The following is a 16,262-nucleotide window of genomic DNA, read 5'->3' as shown; positions in this document are numbered from 1 at the left end:
AGTCCTAGAAACTGAGCTCATAATTCCCAACATTGTAGATGGCAGTGAGCATTCCTGGATAGAGCAGCTTGTTTCATGGTAAGTGGCCTAGATGAAGAGATTACTTTGTATTTATTATTAGAAATTAAATGGATCAAGCTTAAGATAAATCTCAAAAATACTTAGGTCCTCAGATTTGTAGTAACCTAAATGGGGTATAAATTCATATTTTGTGAATAACAGTTCTCAAGATTTCATGTTTTTATATAAGTTCTAATATTAAATATGCATAATTAGAAAAGTACTGTGCATTTTTATTCCAAACTATATCTGAATCCAGTTTATTTCTGGTGGCAGAATCAAGCACTGTTCCCTTATGAAAGGTAACTACACCACATGAGTTCCTCAATACGCCAGAAGGAAAACTCAGATAAACTAAACAAAAAATTCAGAAAACTGCAGTGAACGGATTTCACAGTTTAATGTATAGAATGGATCCAGAACCATTATCACATGATCCTGAATTATTATGTGAGGAAAATAATTAATCATTTTAGCCCCTTATGTATCACCATCCTTTTCTACAGTACAGTCATCTCCCCAAAAGTGACTATAAAACCATACTGTGTCACTCCATATTTATTCTTCCTCATTTACTTCCATATCACATTCCTTCAGTTTACAAATAGAAAAATTATTTTCTGAAAGTCTTTGCACTGCCAGCTCCAGCTGAAAACCGGAAAACACACACACACACACACACACACACACACACACACACACAAAATATACTTCCTGTCTTTCATATTATCTGCAGCTAGAGGACTGAAAACATCAGTTTGCATTTTTGCTACAGATGCTTAAAGAAAGCTTTTTCTTCCACAGATTTCCTGGCTCAAACTCGCTGATAAAACCAAAACTGTATTTTATCAGGAGGATCAAGATGCAGGGAGAAGTGCCCTGTTTTCTTCTGTCATTCATTCAACATGTATTTATTAGGTACAGTATAAAGAGCTGTGCTGGGTACATTAAAGTACAGCAATGAATGACACACAAGCCTTAATGTTCCAATGAGAGGAAAAGGCAAGAAAACAGATTATGAATGAAAGGGACAGGAAAGGATCTACTGCCATAGGAACACAAGGGAGCAACGTCTGCTTTGGTATAAGGGCGGTCTTCACATAGGAAATGATGTCTAGGTTGCTGTTTGAAGGACAAGAAAGAATTATTCAGACACCTAGTGAAAGTATGTGAAGAGCACGGGTGGAGAGAGAATGAAATAGGAAATGAATGAAAGGTATAGGAACAAGGGCCACAACTCAAAAGTTCTTGGAATACAGGTTAACGACTTCTGACCTTGATTGAAGGCAATGAGGGGATGTGTTTGATAGATGAAAAAAAAAAAAAAAAAACCACATACTCTATTCTACTATGTTTGTGTGGTTGCCAATAACAGTGACTTTAAAGCAAATTACCTTTTCCTAAGCTGCACATGGCCAATGTATCTGGGATCCATTCTCTTTTTCTTGTTTTTCTTTCTCCTATTCTTCCTGAAGAGGGCATGAAGCATGACGCCACAATGATAGATGAATGAGCAAACAAGGAGTTCTTAAGAAACGCTTTCTGGTAGTGTTAATTAGGAACATAAACTATTATAATGCTTCTTTCATGATACCAATATAAAATTTCACGTCAAAAATCATTACATCCGTGTATGTATATAATATTGAAGGAAAGATGGACACGTGGGAATATGTGAGAAGAGTGAATAATAATTCAAGAAGCAAAATCCCAGAATGTACTGAGAATTTTCAAGTATGTCATAGAAGACAAAGAGGCTGTTTTAGTTTTGGAAGGCATAGATATGATTTTTAGCATCAATGTAATAATATTGACTGATGACAAACAGAAAGCAGAGTTACTCAATTTTTATTTTGCTTTTATCTTCTATGTCAAGGAGAATAATTGATTGGGAAAAGTAGAGCAAATATTGGAATGAGAGAATTGAAGGCCATGACAAATGGCGAGAACAACAGACAGCCTTGTTCTAAATGTGCTCAAGTTTCTGTCAGCCATTATTAGAGGCCTCTGAGAAACTGTGTGGAAAATAGGCACAGTGCTGGATGGTGAGGAAAGTATGATATCTCAACTTTCAAAAAGGGAAGGGCAGCAGGTGCCCCAAACCATACATCAGGAGTTAACAACTCTGCCTGTGTGTCTCTGGCCCCACCCCGCTCTATGGAATCATGAGCTCCAAGGCTGAAATGCAAGCATCTAGATTTCTTAAAACTTTTCACGGGTAATTCTGATGCAAAGCCAGAGCTGAAACTCTGCTGTAAATCTATAAGCTTGAAGTCAACTTCAGCCAAATTTTAGAACTTATTATTGTTTGTTGGAGACATCAGTTTGTGAGCACATAAAGAGGAAACATGATTGTTAAGAGTCAACATGAGTTTATGAATAGCAACCCATTCCAGACAAATTTCATTTTAATTTTAATTGTGAGGAGTTTGTATATTAGCATCTTCCAAACCTCTTACACAGAACACTAGTTCTATCAGACATTAATAGCTATTGTGAGAACAAAGTATACCATGTTAAATAACTTTGGGAGTTTCTGACTTTAACAAAATTAAACTGATTTATTTGTTAGGTATTCTTGGATTCTTTAATAAGATAATACGTATTGGCCTCTTGGATGGATTTAATATGGAGTTTTTCCCAGATGCTTTTTTTTTTTTTTTTTGAGACAGAGTCTGGCTCTTTACCCAGGCTGCAGTGCAGTGGCATGATCTTGACTCACTGCAACCTCTGCCTCCCAGATTCAAGCAATTCTCATGCCTCAGCCACCCAGATAGCTGGTATTACAGGCATGTGCCACCAGGCCTGGCTAATTTTTGTATTTTTAGTGGAGACGGGGTTTCACCATGTCGGCCAGGCTGGTCTCAAACTCCTGACCTCAAGTTATCTGCCCTGCTCAGCCTCCCAAATTGCTGGGATTACACAGCACCTGGCCTACCCAGCCTCTTTCCTAGGACCAGTGTCTTTTGGAACATCTACTACAAAAAAGATTATTTTGGTTAAACCAATGCATTTGACAAAGCATTTCATGCAATTTTTGCAAGAAATATAGATAAATATTGGCTATTAGTTGTATATATAGTTTATATTTTGTAGAATGACAGTACTATTTATGTAGGGTTGTATATATCATGCATATCAAGTTTTCAAAGTTTCAGAGTTGGAATATAGAGAGAAAAAGTAGGATGTTGAATGACAGGGTTATGATTTGAAATCACTGCATCTAAACAGAATGAGCAACATATAATTAGATGAAATCCAATAGTGAAAAACTATTGTACAAATCTCAGCCCATGAGAAAAAGAATCAGTTGTATTGACTATAAACTCAATATAAGTTAACAAAAAATGTAAACAAAGCATTAGTATACATTAAGAAAAACTGTTCATTAAAATAAGTTTATATTTTAAACTTATTTTAATGCTGATTATTACCAAAATCAGACCAGAAGTAATGTGTTTAACATTGCCACCCTTGAAAGTAGACATCATTTACCAAGAATTCACCTAGAGAGGAGCACACCAGAATGACTGGAATCTCAAATGCAGTAAACATGAAGAAGAGTTGCAAGAATGAAGATAAAAAAGAAAAGAGTGGGTATTGCGAGTTCATGATAACTATGTTTAAATAAAAAGAGAAATTGATCCATTTGCCATTGGACATTTTTAATACTGATGAGTAGTTAATAAGTAGTATTTGCACTCAGCACAAGAAGAAATGGATAACGGTTAACCTGTCCAAAAATTTAGTAAGTTTCTTCTCCACTAAAAGTGTTTAAGCAGGGGCTGGTATACCACTTACCAAAAATGTTAGAAAATGTTGCACTATATTTTCTCAGTTTTCTCATCTGCAACAAGAAGAATTTGAACTATAAAATTATTTCCTTTCAGTAATATAATTTTGGTCCTATCAATGTTAATGAGGAATTTCTTTATCTGTGATCTGAACATCACAGTTTGCTATTTCCTTCATTCACAAGCCCTTATAAAATGCTTACTATACACCAGGTACTGTGATAATCACTGGGCATCATGAAAGAATAAGACATGCCTCCTGATCATGTAATTATAATCGAATCATTTTAAAAGAGTGATGAGAACTCAAAAGAAAGAGGGGTTTTTAATCGATCATTTCATTGAAGACTCGATTATTGTAAATAGGTTAGAACGGCTTTTTAAAGAAGGCATTTGCACCAGACCTTTTATTAATCAATGTATGTTACTTGCTTTCTAAAACTTGACATAAAGTTGTTTTCTTACATCAATTAAGACTTAATACTTCATAAGCCTTGACACTTTAATTTCTACTATTTTTTGGCTAATATCTTTCATCTCTCTCTCCCTTTCTCTTCATGTTTACCTATTTGCCTTTGACAAACCTATTAAATTTGCCTTTTTTCCACTCCCCTTTCCTATCACTAGCTTCACTAGATATTTGCCTGGATTCTTTTAACAGGCTCCTCACCACTTTTTCCCATTCCCAAGACAATACTTCCTTCCACTCCCCAGCTCCCACCCCCATGTCTCATCATAAATGGCCATCATGAATATCATGCCAGACTCATCCTTTTAAAGTTCTTCTATTCCCCTTTCAAGTCAATTGTGATTAATCTCTCTTTTCTAACAGATCAAATAAATCCCCCTTCTTGGGTTTCACGTTTGATTATATTAGGTTACTCTTTATTTTTCACTCTCCCTCAATACCTATCTTCCAAGTCAGCTCTTTGCTGTCTCTTTCATGAACAATATTCACTCCAATTCACAAAATTTTGTTCCTATTCTCCTTACCTGGAATAGTTTATTCTCCATCCTTCCCCAGTTCTTCCTCACAAGATTCTAGCCGCATTTTAAAATATAGCTTAAATACTACCTCCTTCTCTAGACTCTCATGATGTGAAGTAGTTCACTAGTGAAATCTCACTTGATAGTTTCATATATATTAGTTATATCTTCCCTGAGTTATAAACTTCTTGAGAACAAGAGTACTTTCTGTAACCCCAGGAGAGTCTTATGCCCATAACAAGCATGAATAAATACTTCTTGGCTAATCGTTTTTATTTTGAGAACAACCACCACCAAATGAAAAAAAAAATCTATCACATCTCATGCTTGACTAAAGAATGGACTAGTGGAGTAATTGTACAGGGTAACATCCTATAAGATGTATTGAATTATCACTGGGGTATCAGAGACATTTGTGGAGATATGACAAAGAGGAAATAATGAACTTAGTACAACTCTTCTCGGGAAGAATATTTTATGTCCTTGGAAGAAATGCTGATTAAACCCTCCACAGGGCATCCTTGTCCTTGGGACATGAGACGGGCCTACACTTCCTTCCAAGGTCTCAAAGTCAAGTGACCAGCCAGGCTACAGCAGTTAGAGAAGCCACCAGCAGTCCCCTCTGTCTTTCCACATATGCTCAGGGCTCAGCTTCTCTCTAAAGAAATGTTAAAAATTATTTTACAACTATCAGTTCCCAGGCACATGAACGTTTTAGCCTTCTCTGGGCATTCAAATGTCACCATCTTTTATTAATCAACTCCACAGAGAACTTGAAGTGAGGTTACCTCTTGCCTACCCTCAAACCTATCCCCATGTACAACTTATACAATGTGCTTTTGCATACAATTCATTGAAAAGAGTCCCCAAATATTTCTAGAAACTATGGTAGAGAGAAGAGAGGAGTTGTTGGCAGAGGATCCAGGCTGATGATGTGAACTCAAATCTAGTCTACTTGCACTGCCCTGGAGCATCTTAATTTTCTCGTCTGCCAAATGGGGTGTTTGTTAGCTCCAGAATGTGTATGGAAGGCCTTTGCAAACCTAAAGCACTTATTAATCTGTTTACAGGCAAAGTCAACAAGCATGGGCACTCTGTGGGTGGCCCTTTAGCTCTCGCTAAAAATTCCTTGTCAAAGGGACTGCTTTTGCTCTCTAGAAACTGAGTTATGATTGGATAATTTCTCTCCAATAAAGTACATTTTATGTGTTAATCACATTAGGTTGTTATAACCATTGTCTATTTTCAACTGTAATACCTCTAACTAAGAAATAATGGTGGTAGATTGACCAGTAGATAACCCTTCTTCATTATGAGTAACATCAGAGAGTATATCTTTCACACATTTTTGCTTTATTCAACAATTTTTTGGTATGAGTGACCTTATTCTTTTAATGTTAGGCAGAATTAATTAAAGACACCGTTATTTAATGCTGCAACACGTTTTGCTTAAAAAAATGTATCACTCACCAGTTCATGTTTCATGAATACAATTATCTCTTTTTTGCAGTTGTCATTGTTCCATATTCTTTCTTTATGAGCCACTATTTTTTAAATATAAATTTTAACCTACTGTATAAATGTGAACAGCTGTTGGGCTTGTAGTCCAGAAAGGACTATTCACATCTTCCAGCCAAATTGCAAGTGTCGTGACTGGAAAAGCTATTACTTTTGAGCTCATTATAGTGAAAAGAAAGAAGGTTTTACTCTTAGCAGATGTAAGTTTTGTAGATAAGCCAGGGTTTCATGGCTGGTTGAAATTGTGCAACAACAAACAATTTCAGTTCTATGACCCTCAGAATATTCCATCAACACATGCTGTTGTGGGCTTTTCTACTTCCATTTAGAGGTTTTTTAGTAGAAAAGTTAAGATTATAAATTTTGAAGTCAGGCAGAAGTGAATTCAAATCCTGCCTTCACTTAATTACCTGCTGCGTGACTTTGGACATGTCTGTTAAAGGTCCCACGTTTCGGTTTTCCCACCTGTAAAATGGGAATAATAATTAGCCCATAGACCCTGTTTTGATAAAAAGATTACCAGAATGCCTGGCACATAGTAACTACTCAATAAATGTCCAATTATAGTGTTACTATTTTTAGCTTTTTGTAGGTACCTTCCCTAACTTCCAGTTTTCTTTCTGTAAATGATATGTTTCCATATGGCTCTATATGGGCTATGTTTAAAGCCCATGACAAACATTCCTTTTGGCACCATGTCCATCCTTGGACATCTCTTCTGGAAATCTAGTGTTGGGCCACAGTCAGCTGGAGCAAATGCCATGGTATTTGGGGGGTTTAAAAAAGGACAATACTCAAAAGAAATTAGGAAAAGCTCTGCTAGGTATTCAGTCAAAAAGACAGCAGACCCAACCTATGTAGACCTTTCTCCTTATCTCTCAAAGAGTGATTTTATAATCTCTTAACAGTCTTCATTCATTTGTCCATATTGTAGGATGTGTCCAGTTTAGACATTTTGTTATTTATCTTGTCCAGTAATGTGAAGTGAAGATGAACACAGGCAAAGATTTAAACAATAAAAATAAGAATGCTTGGGTCTACCTGAATATTTTTCCAGAATGTCTGAAACAAATCAAGATATAATATGAGCACCACAGAAAACCTAAAATCACTCTCCAAATGGATGCTGAGGTTGGGTTTGCAAGCTTCCCTCACATGTGTTTCCTACTAACATTGCTAGTTACAAGGTGTGGGTTGTTAGGATAATGGAGGCAAAGACTGAAAGTGCGATATGGAGAAAAGCATGGTCTATGTAAACCCTATCAGAATTTCCTCCTCAGAGCTGGGTTTGAGATGTGAATTGCCTGCTTCATGGTACCAATGGCATCAAGAGGCCTATAAAGTGTCCTAATATATCAGTCAGCCTTGTCTCAGTCATTTCTAGATTATTTTCTTACCCTAAGGAGAGTACAGTCAACAAAATGGACCTCAGAAACAGTAACAATTTCCACTGACAACTGGAGAGAGGGCTGAGGGAGGAAAATGGAACACGGGTGTTTATCGTTCACCCTGTGAACAGAGCCACAGACTGTATTTTTTAAGAAGACACATCAAAAGAAGCTCCGTTGGCTGGACTTTGACTCATTCCTTGATTTGGTTTGTTCCTATACCACACTTTGGCACTCAACTTCTTTCCTGGCTCTCCTTCTTCTTGGACTTCTCTACATCTCCTTTTGTGATTCTGCTCCTCAGCATCGTCACTGTCCTCCAAAGCCCAACATCTTCTTGTCACTGACTTTCAAAGATCTCATCTACCCTCACTACTTCAGACCTCACTCTCTCTAAAGCTTCTTTATATGTCCACATCTGCCCAGTGAGCAAGTCCACTTGGATATATTCCCTAAGCATGTAACTTTGGGTAGTAAAATTAAACATATTAAACATATCCATGTCTTTTCAAACCTGACTCCTCCTACTTCTCTATTCCTGTTCTTCTAAAAATCCTTTTCAAAATCTGGGCATCTCTTGTTTCCTATCCTTTCTTCCTCAATCTCTCAAAATTCCTGGAAGCACCATGAATTACCAGTTATTATTTTGTAATAATTATTTAACTTCTCTCTCCCTTATTTTTATCACCATTATTCTTGTCCAGACCTATGTCCATTCATGGTATGTGAAGCAGTTAGTTGTTTTTCACATACTTTCTGTGGCTCTGTTTTATTTGCCTCCAATCCCTCACAAACTATCCAATCTTTCCAGCTATCGATGTGTAATTTCACTGCTAAAAGTGCCATACAAATAAACCTTTGAAATATTCCATACACCTGACTCCATTCTTTAAGATTCAGTAGAGACTAGGTGGCCTTGGACTATGGCTTTCAACATTTTTTTACCAGCAGAATTTCATTTTGCTCTTTCATGGATGGCTCCTGCCCAAAGCACTGAAATAGAAAGGTCTAAGTGTATCAAAAAGAAAATTGCATGAAAACTTTAAATTGGAGGAGTCAAGTGACAGCTGTAGTCTTATCAAATTCAGCATCTGAATTTATTTGTTGCACTTCACTGAGAACAAAAATGCTGATTCACACTGATCAGAAGCTGCAAAAGGCATACATTTTATATTAGCTCTCTGTTGTAGTTTGTATATTTGTCCCTTCCAAATCTCATGTTGAAATGTGACCCCAATGTTGGAGGTGGGAACAAATGGGAGGTGTTTGGGTCATGGGGGCAGATCCCTTATGAATGCATGGTGCCCTCCTTGCAGTAATGAAGGAGTTCTCACTCCATTAGCTGCCACAAGATCTGATTGTTAAAAAGAGCGTGGCACCTCCCCTGTCTCTCTCTTTCTCCTTGTCTCACCATGTGACATGCCTACTCCCCTTTGGCCCTCTGCCATGAGTAAAAGCTTCTTAAGGCCTCATCAGGAGCCAAGCAGATACTGGTGCCATGCTAGTATGGCCTGCAGAGCCATGAGTCAAATAAACCTCTTTTCCTTATAGATTACCCAGCCTCAGCTATTCCTTTATAGCAATGCAAAGTAGACTACCACACTATCTTAGCAAGTTCATATCACTTTCAGAATACAGACAAAATAACAGCAGAAGTTATATCCTAGGCCTGAACTAAATTAGTAAATTGGTGTCACAAGAGAGAATATAGAAGTGATATTTATTGTGTTATAAGGTGGCAAATACCAAATTTGGGTGTGTACTTTATGTTACAGGTTTTTGTAATGATTCAAATAGATTTTAAAATAAAATTCCATTCAGAATGTCTGAAGTGCTTGTACCCAAGAGTTTTATTAAACAGTGTTTGAAAACCATTCCTTTAGAGAACACTATTTTCTAACCTATTGTTCTTTTTTATCTCTAGCTAAGCAGGACCTTTCCCAACCATCTCCAATGTACCTTTTCAATCTTATCTCCACGAGTCCTCTGTCCACGCCCACATGCCTAAACAAAGGGCCATGCCCTGCTTCTCCTCCCTCCATGCCTCAGAAAACATCAATTCCCACTAACTCCAAAACGTCTTCCCTAACCACTCCAGTCCGCGGTAATCTCTACCTCATCTAAATTCCTGCAGCGTTAGTCAATCACAACCCTCAGACAAATAACTCTATGTGCCTATCACTGGGCTACACAAATGTTAGGTAGCCAAGAAAGGAGGAAGGGAGGAAAAGAGTAAGGGAAACTTCTCTGTGAATCATTGAGAAGAAGAGGGTAGAGGATGAAGTCACAGTAAATGTGTTGACATGAGGGATGTTTTAGTGTAAGAATAATTGGGATTGGAAGAAGAGGGATGAACATGTGGCTGAGCTGCTAGGTTAGATTCCCCCATTCTAGCCCCCCATTTGGGACCTAACGACTCTATAAATGTGTCATTTATTATTAAAATTCTGATATACTAAAAAGTTACTGATCTATTAAAAAGTGAAAGAATGATTGTTTCATATTAATCCATAAATTGCTTTACTCCACCAAAGGATACTGAAATATTTTACTGAAAACACTACTGATTTATCTTAGTTTTTGTATAATAATTTCACATTTAATTTAAATGCAGATGTTAAGCTTTTTCATTGTCATATAGTATTATTTTGTCTGGACACAGAGCAGTAAGGATACTGCTTAGAAATGCCTTCTTTTTTTTTTTTTTTTGAGACGGAGTCTCACCCTGTCACCCAGGCTGGAGTGCAATGGTGCAATCTCGGCTCACTGCAACCTCCGCCTCCCAGGTTCAAGTGATTCAAGTGATTCTTCTGCCTCAGCTGAGTAGCTGGGATTACAGGCATGCACACCATCATGCCCGGCTAATTTTTGTATTTTTAGTAGAGACAGGGTTTCACCATGTTGTTCAGGCTGCTCTCAACTCCTGACATCGTGATCCGCCTGCCTCGGCCTTCCAAAGTGCTGGGATTACAGGCTAATAATGCCTTCTATGTGCTTTTCATATAATAATTCAAACAAATTGACATAGCAATCCTATAAGACAGATATTCTTAGGCCCATTGTACAGACTTAATTGAGGCTTAAGGACATCTAGTCACTTGTTCTAGATCATATAATAAATTATGGCAAAGTCAGCATTCAAAACCATGGGAACCTTGCAACTTCTGCATTGGAATCAGCTTGAGTATTTACTAAACTGCAGATTACTGAGCCCCGCTATGGATTTACAAAAGAACCTCTGGGGAGTGAGTGTAGGAGTCTGTGTTTCTTAGCACTCCAGATCCTGTGGAGACACTTTAATGTTTAATAACCCCTCATTTAACTGACAATGAGTTCTAAAACATTGCCATGTTTAGAGGATGGTGGAAATGGATATAACCATTACTGGTTCCTTAACTTGAGGAAGTCAAGGAATTTTGAGGCAAGGTGTTTAGGCAACTACAACACAGAGGCTGAGTAGTAAAGTATGCTGAGTTGCTTGAGTTTTGTAATTAGATTATAGGTACAACCATCCAACTCTAAGTTTCCAGTAGAAAGTTGCTGCTTTCTCAACTGTAAAATAAGGAAATTGCCTTGGATAATCTCTAAGTTTCCTCCCACACATTACTTGATTTCATGATTCCTAGTTTCTTATGCTGATTTCCAGCTTCTACTTTGCTAAATATCCAGGACAATGGAAGGAAAAGGACTACATATTGATGATCTTTTCTTATGTTATTCAACTTATTTAACAGCCTCCCTTAAATGCTTCACTAGGAACAAAACAGCCTCTCTTGCCTCCTTCAGTATTTACCAAATAGAGAAGAAATGGAAAATGAGAAAAAAAGAAGATTAAAGAAGAAAAAATGACTAGCAAACAGAGGTTTTACCATCTGCTATATTTCATTTTGGTGCATTTATATTTCTGCTGCTAAGCTCAGAAGTCTTTGGGGAATGTGTATATTTTGGACAAATTTTATAATAAAGACTGTAAATAAATCCTAAATGCTGCTAGACCTGGAAGTAGATCATTAAACTTTTATAGAATCGACATAAGCTTGGGATCTGACAAATCTCATTTTAAATGCTGAATATAGCAGCTTCCCAGCAAAGCACAAAGCTGATAGTATACATTTAATCTCTATTAAGGTCTTGCAAACAATACATTTTTAAATAATATTTAAATTCATTGTCACCTTTTTTTGCAAACAAATTACCAGAATTTAAGGTATAGGATTTCAAATTTTGACATGATGCATAAATACAAAGAATATACAAATAACAGGATTCTCTGAATACAGCCAACGTAATAACAAAACTGAATTCCCAAGAGACACCTAGTGTTTTATTTGTGCAAACACCAGCAATCTAACTGGATGGCCAGATTGACACCTGCCACACCCCTTCTCTTTCTCCCTTGGGCAAGGAATGTTCATTCTTTTCCTAAAAGATCATCTCTTCCAATAAGTGTGCTCTTCTTTCTTTGTGTCCTGCCCTCAGTGACACCTCATCCTGTGAAAAATGACTTACAGGTTTTTCATCTTTTGAAACCATTATCACTGACCAGCAGTCCCTGTAGACAGAAGATGGATTGGATTATGAATCCCAACCCTGCTGCAAAACCTATTACTAAAGGAGCCCACCTCACACTCTGCTTCCTTTTCCCACCCCAACTGCTAAGCTCTCGGGCTGGTTAGACAAAAGCTTTGGAACTTGCGTAGCGTACCACAGTCTACTTAGTGTGCAAGACTAAGCCACACTTCCAAGTTCTGCCCCAACCATTCTGCTTGGGAAATTGCCAGAGATGCTTCTTGCACTAACCAGGCCTCTTTGCTATGGAGCTGGGTGTACCAAAATCAAGCATCTGTTGGGTTGATTTGGGTGGTCTTGTCCAGAAACACAAAGGTCTGGAGTCAGAAGTGAAGCAGTTAAAGCAGCCGAGGCATGTTTACTAAGCCATTTGAAGTTGATAGCCCACACGGCCTGGCTTTTTTCTCTATCTTCGTAAACCGCAGTGAATTGATGGAATGACCCGGACTTGATCTTCAGGGCAATATGTCTGATGGCACCGCTGGATTGATAAATTGATTCAAAACTATTACCATGGTGAAAAAGCAATAAGGTCATAAAAATTGCATCAGCTGGCTAAGTAAATCCTGGCATTTCATGACAAGTAATGCAGAAGAATCGCAAGAGGATCTGGGCATGAGGCTGAATGAGTGAGGGAGAAATGACTTTGAAGAGCTCATCATCTCCGATCTATTCTTCCTGCCAGCGATTCATGCCTTCGCATAGTGCCACTTCATTATGGGGAAATAACTGTACACTTCTAGCATATTCCTGGCCTCCCTGGCGGCCCCTGGAGGACCCTTAGCTGGTTAATACCTCATCACGGGCTTCATTGAACACTTTAATCTGCACTTGTGTGATCAATAGAATCCTGGTGTAAATTAAAAGGACAATTTCATGTAATCAAGCCTGTTAATGCTCATTTTGAAAACCATTATTTGTGGAAGGCATTTAGAAGAAAATTACAAAGTGACAGGCTGATGCACTCTGAGATGATTTGAAAGCAGGCCTTTTTTGTGTGACTGTATACCTGCCTTGGGAGCAGGACAGGAGTGAGCATTAGTGAATGCATGGGGGGAAGGGAGGGGAAATGGAGCCAGGAAAGAAGAGAGGAGCATTCCAGCAGGAATATGTGTATGCCCTGCCTGCTTGCTTGCCTTCATGCAGGGAAGAAGAAAATGAAATTTTCCAGTGTTCTATTTCTGTGGCAAATTCAATTACTGTGGGGACTTGTTCAAAGCGGTGTAACTTCCAAGAGGCAGAAATTGAAAACCTTGCAGCTAATGAAATGGCAAATGACTAGGAAGTTCAGACGGGGGCCGTCAGTCAGATCAAACACCTGAAGAAAAATAGCAGCTATCCCCAATGCCTTCTTCAAGCCACTCTCTCATCTTCAGGAGAGAAGAGACCTCTTTCCCCCAACATTTTATCAAGCTGGAATAATATGTTAACAGTCACAAGCTTCCAAAGGCCCCTGTACTACAACACAGCGATGGTGCATGAAGCATGAAATGCAAAATAAAACCCACATGTTGTTTCTCTCCAATTCTGGGATGCATTTTGCATATGACTATGTAATATTTAATTAGATGATTTGCCCTCAAATGTATTTTTTAAGTCTTTGGTAGCTTTTAAAGACTTTCAAAGTCTTTTAATAGCTATATGCACTCACAGACATAATATATGGCAGTATATGACTTGGAAAGATTTTTAAGAATGCTAAAATGGAGCCTCCACTCCTAAAGATTCTTTCCTATTGGTCTCAAGTGGAATCTAGACTTTATACTTTTGAGAAACTCTCCAGGTGATTCTAATTCCCAAGTACTTTATGAGAAGTACTGGACTGTCCCGTGAGCATAAATGCACTAAGTTTTGCCATGGGTACCAGTAACCATACATTCAATAGTTTTTTTTTACATTATTGAAACTTGCATGCCAGTGATATGACCCAGGTAGCATTACATCCCAGCAATACCAGAGATATGAAATTACAAGACCCAAGAAAAAGTGGCTTGTAGGCATGACAAACTGAAATCTAATTGAAATCACTTACCCAGAGCCGGCCATTGCTGGGGCATCACTCATCCAGGCTCAAGAGTATGAAAATTCAATGTCTGTTCTATTCCTTCCTCCATGCTCATCAGAACATTCCAAAAAGGAAAACCATTTCCATTTGTCATGTGACAAGCATTTCCAGTCAACTCTTATTAAGCTGATATTGGCTTATTCAAAATAAGATGCACTTCAGACGACCATTCTCTGGGCAACTAAATTTCCTATAGCTCTTTATTAAAATTGTCAGATAATCTGAGCATAGTTTATTCAAAATATGCTTGCTTTTATTTGATTTTATCAATACTTGCATGTCAAATAAGCATTTTAATGCATTGAGCTATAAATAATGTTTCCCCTTCTCTCTCCAAAAATGACAAAATGCCATCCTCCCTTCCCTTGTTCTGATACACTGGGGCTGACTTGGTTCTTTCTGATTCCTTTTCAGGATGCTCCTCCACCCCTATCTTCACCCAGTCACTTTAAATCATGCTTAATTTGATCTCTTAGAGCTGGGTCAGGCTTAACATTTTCTTGCAAGAGCTAACTACATCCATGTGAATTTGATTTCTCTATGATTTATATTCAACCATTATTTGGGGCCTTAATATTATTTCAGATATATCCAGTATTTTTAATGACTTCTAAAAACATGAATAATTGAATGTGAGGTTTTTCTTCTTTGAACTTTTTGTAAGTTAGATTCTGAAACTCTGACTTCATGAAATGTTCAATAAGACCTCAATATTCAGAGGAAGAGTATCTTCAAGTGCTTTGTTTATCTCCTAAACCTCAGGTGACACTCACTATGGCAGAGTGACTGGGTCTACTCCCTTTTAGATCTAATGACTTACGTAGGTAAGATGGCAGTAACTAAGCAGGAAAGTTGAATTTCTATCCTGAGGTCTACCTCACTTTCAAAATATCAGAATTTGCAAAAAGTTTCAAAGTGGATAATAAAGAGAATGAAGAAAACTAAATCCATCAATGAAATACATAAGGCGGCTACTACATAAACCCCTTATTAAAGTGTCTGTCCAGGCTCAAGAGGCTCAACTAAGGTTTAAGATGTTTGGCGTTCAGGGGAAAAGAAAGTTGGGTCTTTTAGAAACCAGTAGTCGTGAATAAAGTTAAAACTTCACTTCTACGGCCGGGCACGGTGGCTCACGCCTATAATCCCAGCACTTTGGGAGGCCGAGGCGGGAGGATCACAAGGTCAGGAGATCGAGAACATCTTGGCCAACATGGTGAAACCCCGTCTCTACTAAAAATACAAAAATTAGCTGGGCATGGTGGCAGGTGCCTTTACTCCCAGCTACTTGGGAGGATGAGGCAGGAGAATCGCTTGAACCCAGGAGGTGGAGGTTGCAGTGAGCCGAGATCGCGCCACTCATTGCATTCCATCCTGGCGACAGAGAGAGACTCCATCTCAAAAACAAACAAACAAAACTTCACTGCTAGAAAGTGACAGGCTGACTAACACTTCTTTCAAAAACTAACTTAGTTTTTAAACTAAAAACTAAGTTATTGATTTAAAACTAGTTTTAAAATTTAGTTTTTTGGCAGATTTAGCACACACACAAAAGAAAAACCTTAAGCTAAATAAGTGTTAGCTAGGAAAGAGGAATTGAGATGACTGAGGATCTAAAACCATGTTTCTCAACAGGTTTTTTAGAGCTGAAAAGAGAAGCTCTGAGGACCCAGGCACATGAATACCTCACAGGTTTTCTCTTTTAAAGTTAGCCACAAGGAAAAGGATGTGCTGGGAATTTTTGGTGCTGAAAACAATTGGATGGGTCTTAAGTATGTAAAACGAAAAGAAATTGTAGGAGTCCGGAACTCCTCCTCCGGATCTAAAGAGAGAGGAGAACTATAGATAATGTTGTTTCAAAGAAAATTAGTTGTGCGAGAAAGA

At 37.9% G+C, this 16,262-nt stretch overlaps 2 annotated features.

The window, feature by feature from the left end:
- Positions 10,758-11,476: an enhancer, noted in NCBI's record as "OCT4-NANOG hESC enhancer chr4:84702313-84703031 (GRCh37/hg19 assembly coordinates)". NCBI's record gives its function as "activates a minimal SCP1, AML or CMV promoter by ChIP-STARR-seq in primed H9 embryonic stem cells {active_cell/tissue: H9 hESC(primed)}" and the evidence as "EXISTENCE:reporter gene assay evidence [ECO:0000049][PMID:30033119]".
- Positions 12,524-13,778: an enhancer, noted in NCBI's record as "VISTA enhancer hs712". NCBI's record gives its function as "enhancer in: midbrain (mesencephalon)[8/8]" and the evidence as "EXISTENCE:transgenic organism evidence [ECO:0001131][PMID:17130149]".

Source organism: Homo sapiens, chromosome 4 (genome assembly GCF_000001405.40).
Source record: "Homo sapiens chromosome 4, GRCh38.p14 Primary Assembly".
NCBI classification, from domain to species: domain Eukaryota; kingdom Metazoa; phylum Chordata; class Mammalia; order Primates; family Hominidae; genus Homo; species Homo sapiens.
The sequence above is the reverse complement of the archived record's forward strand: the minus strand, read 5'-3'. Positions and strand labels throughout refer to the sequence as shown.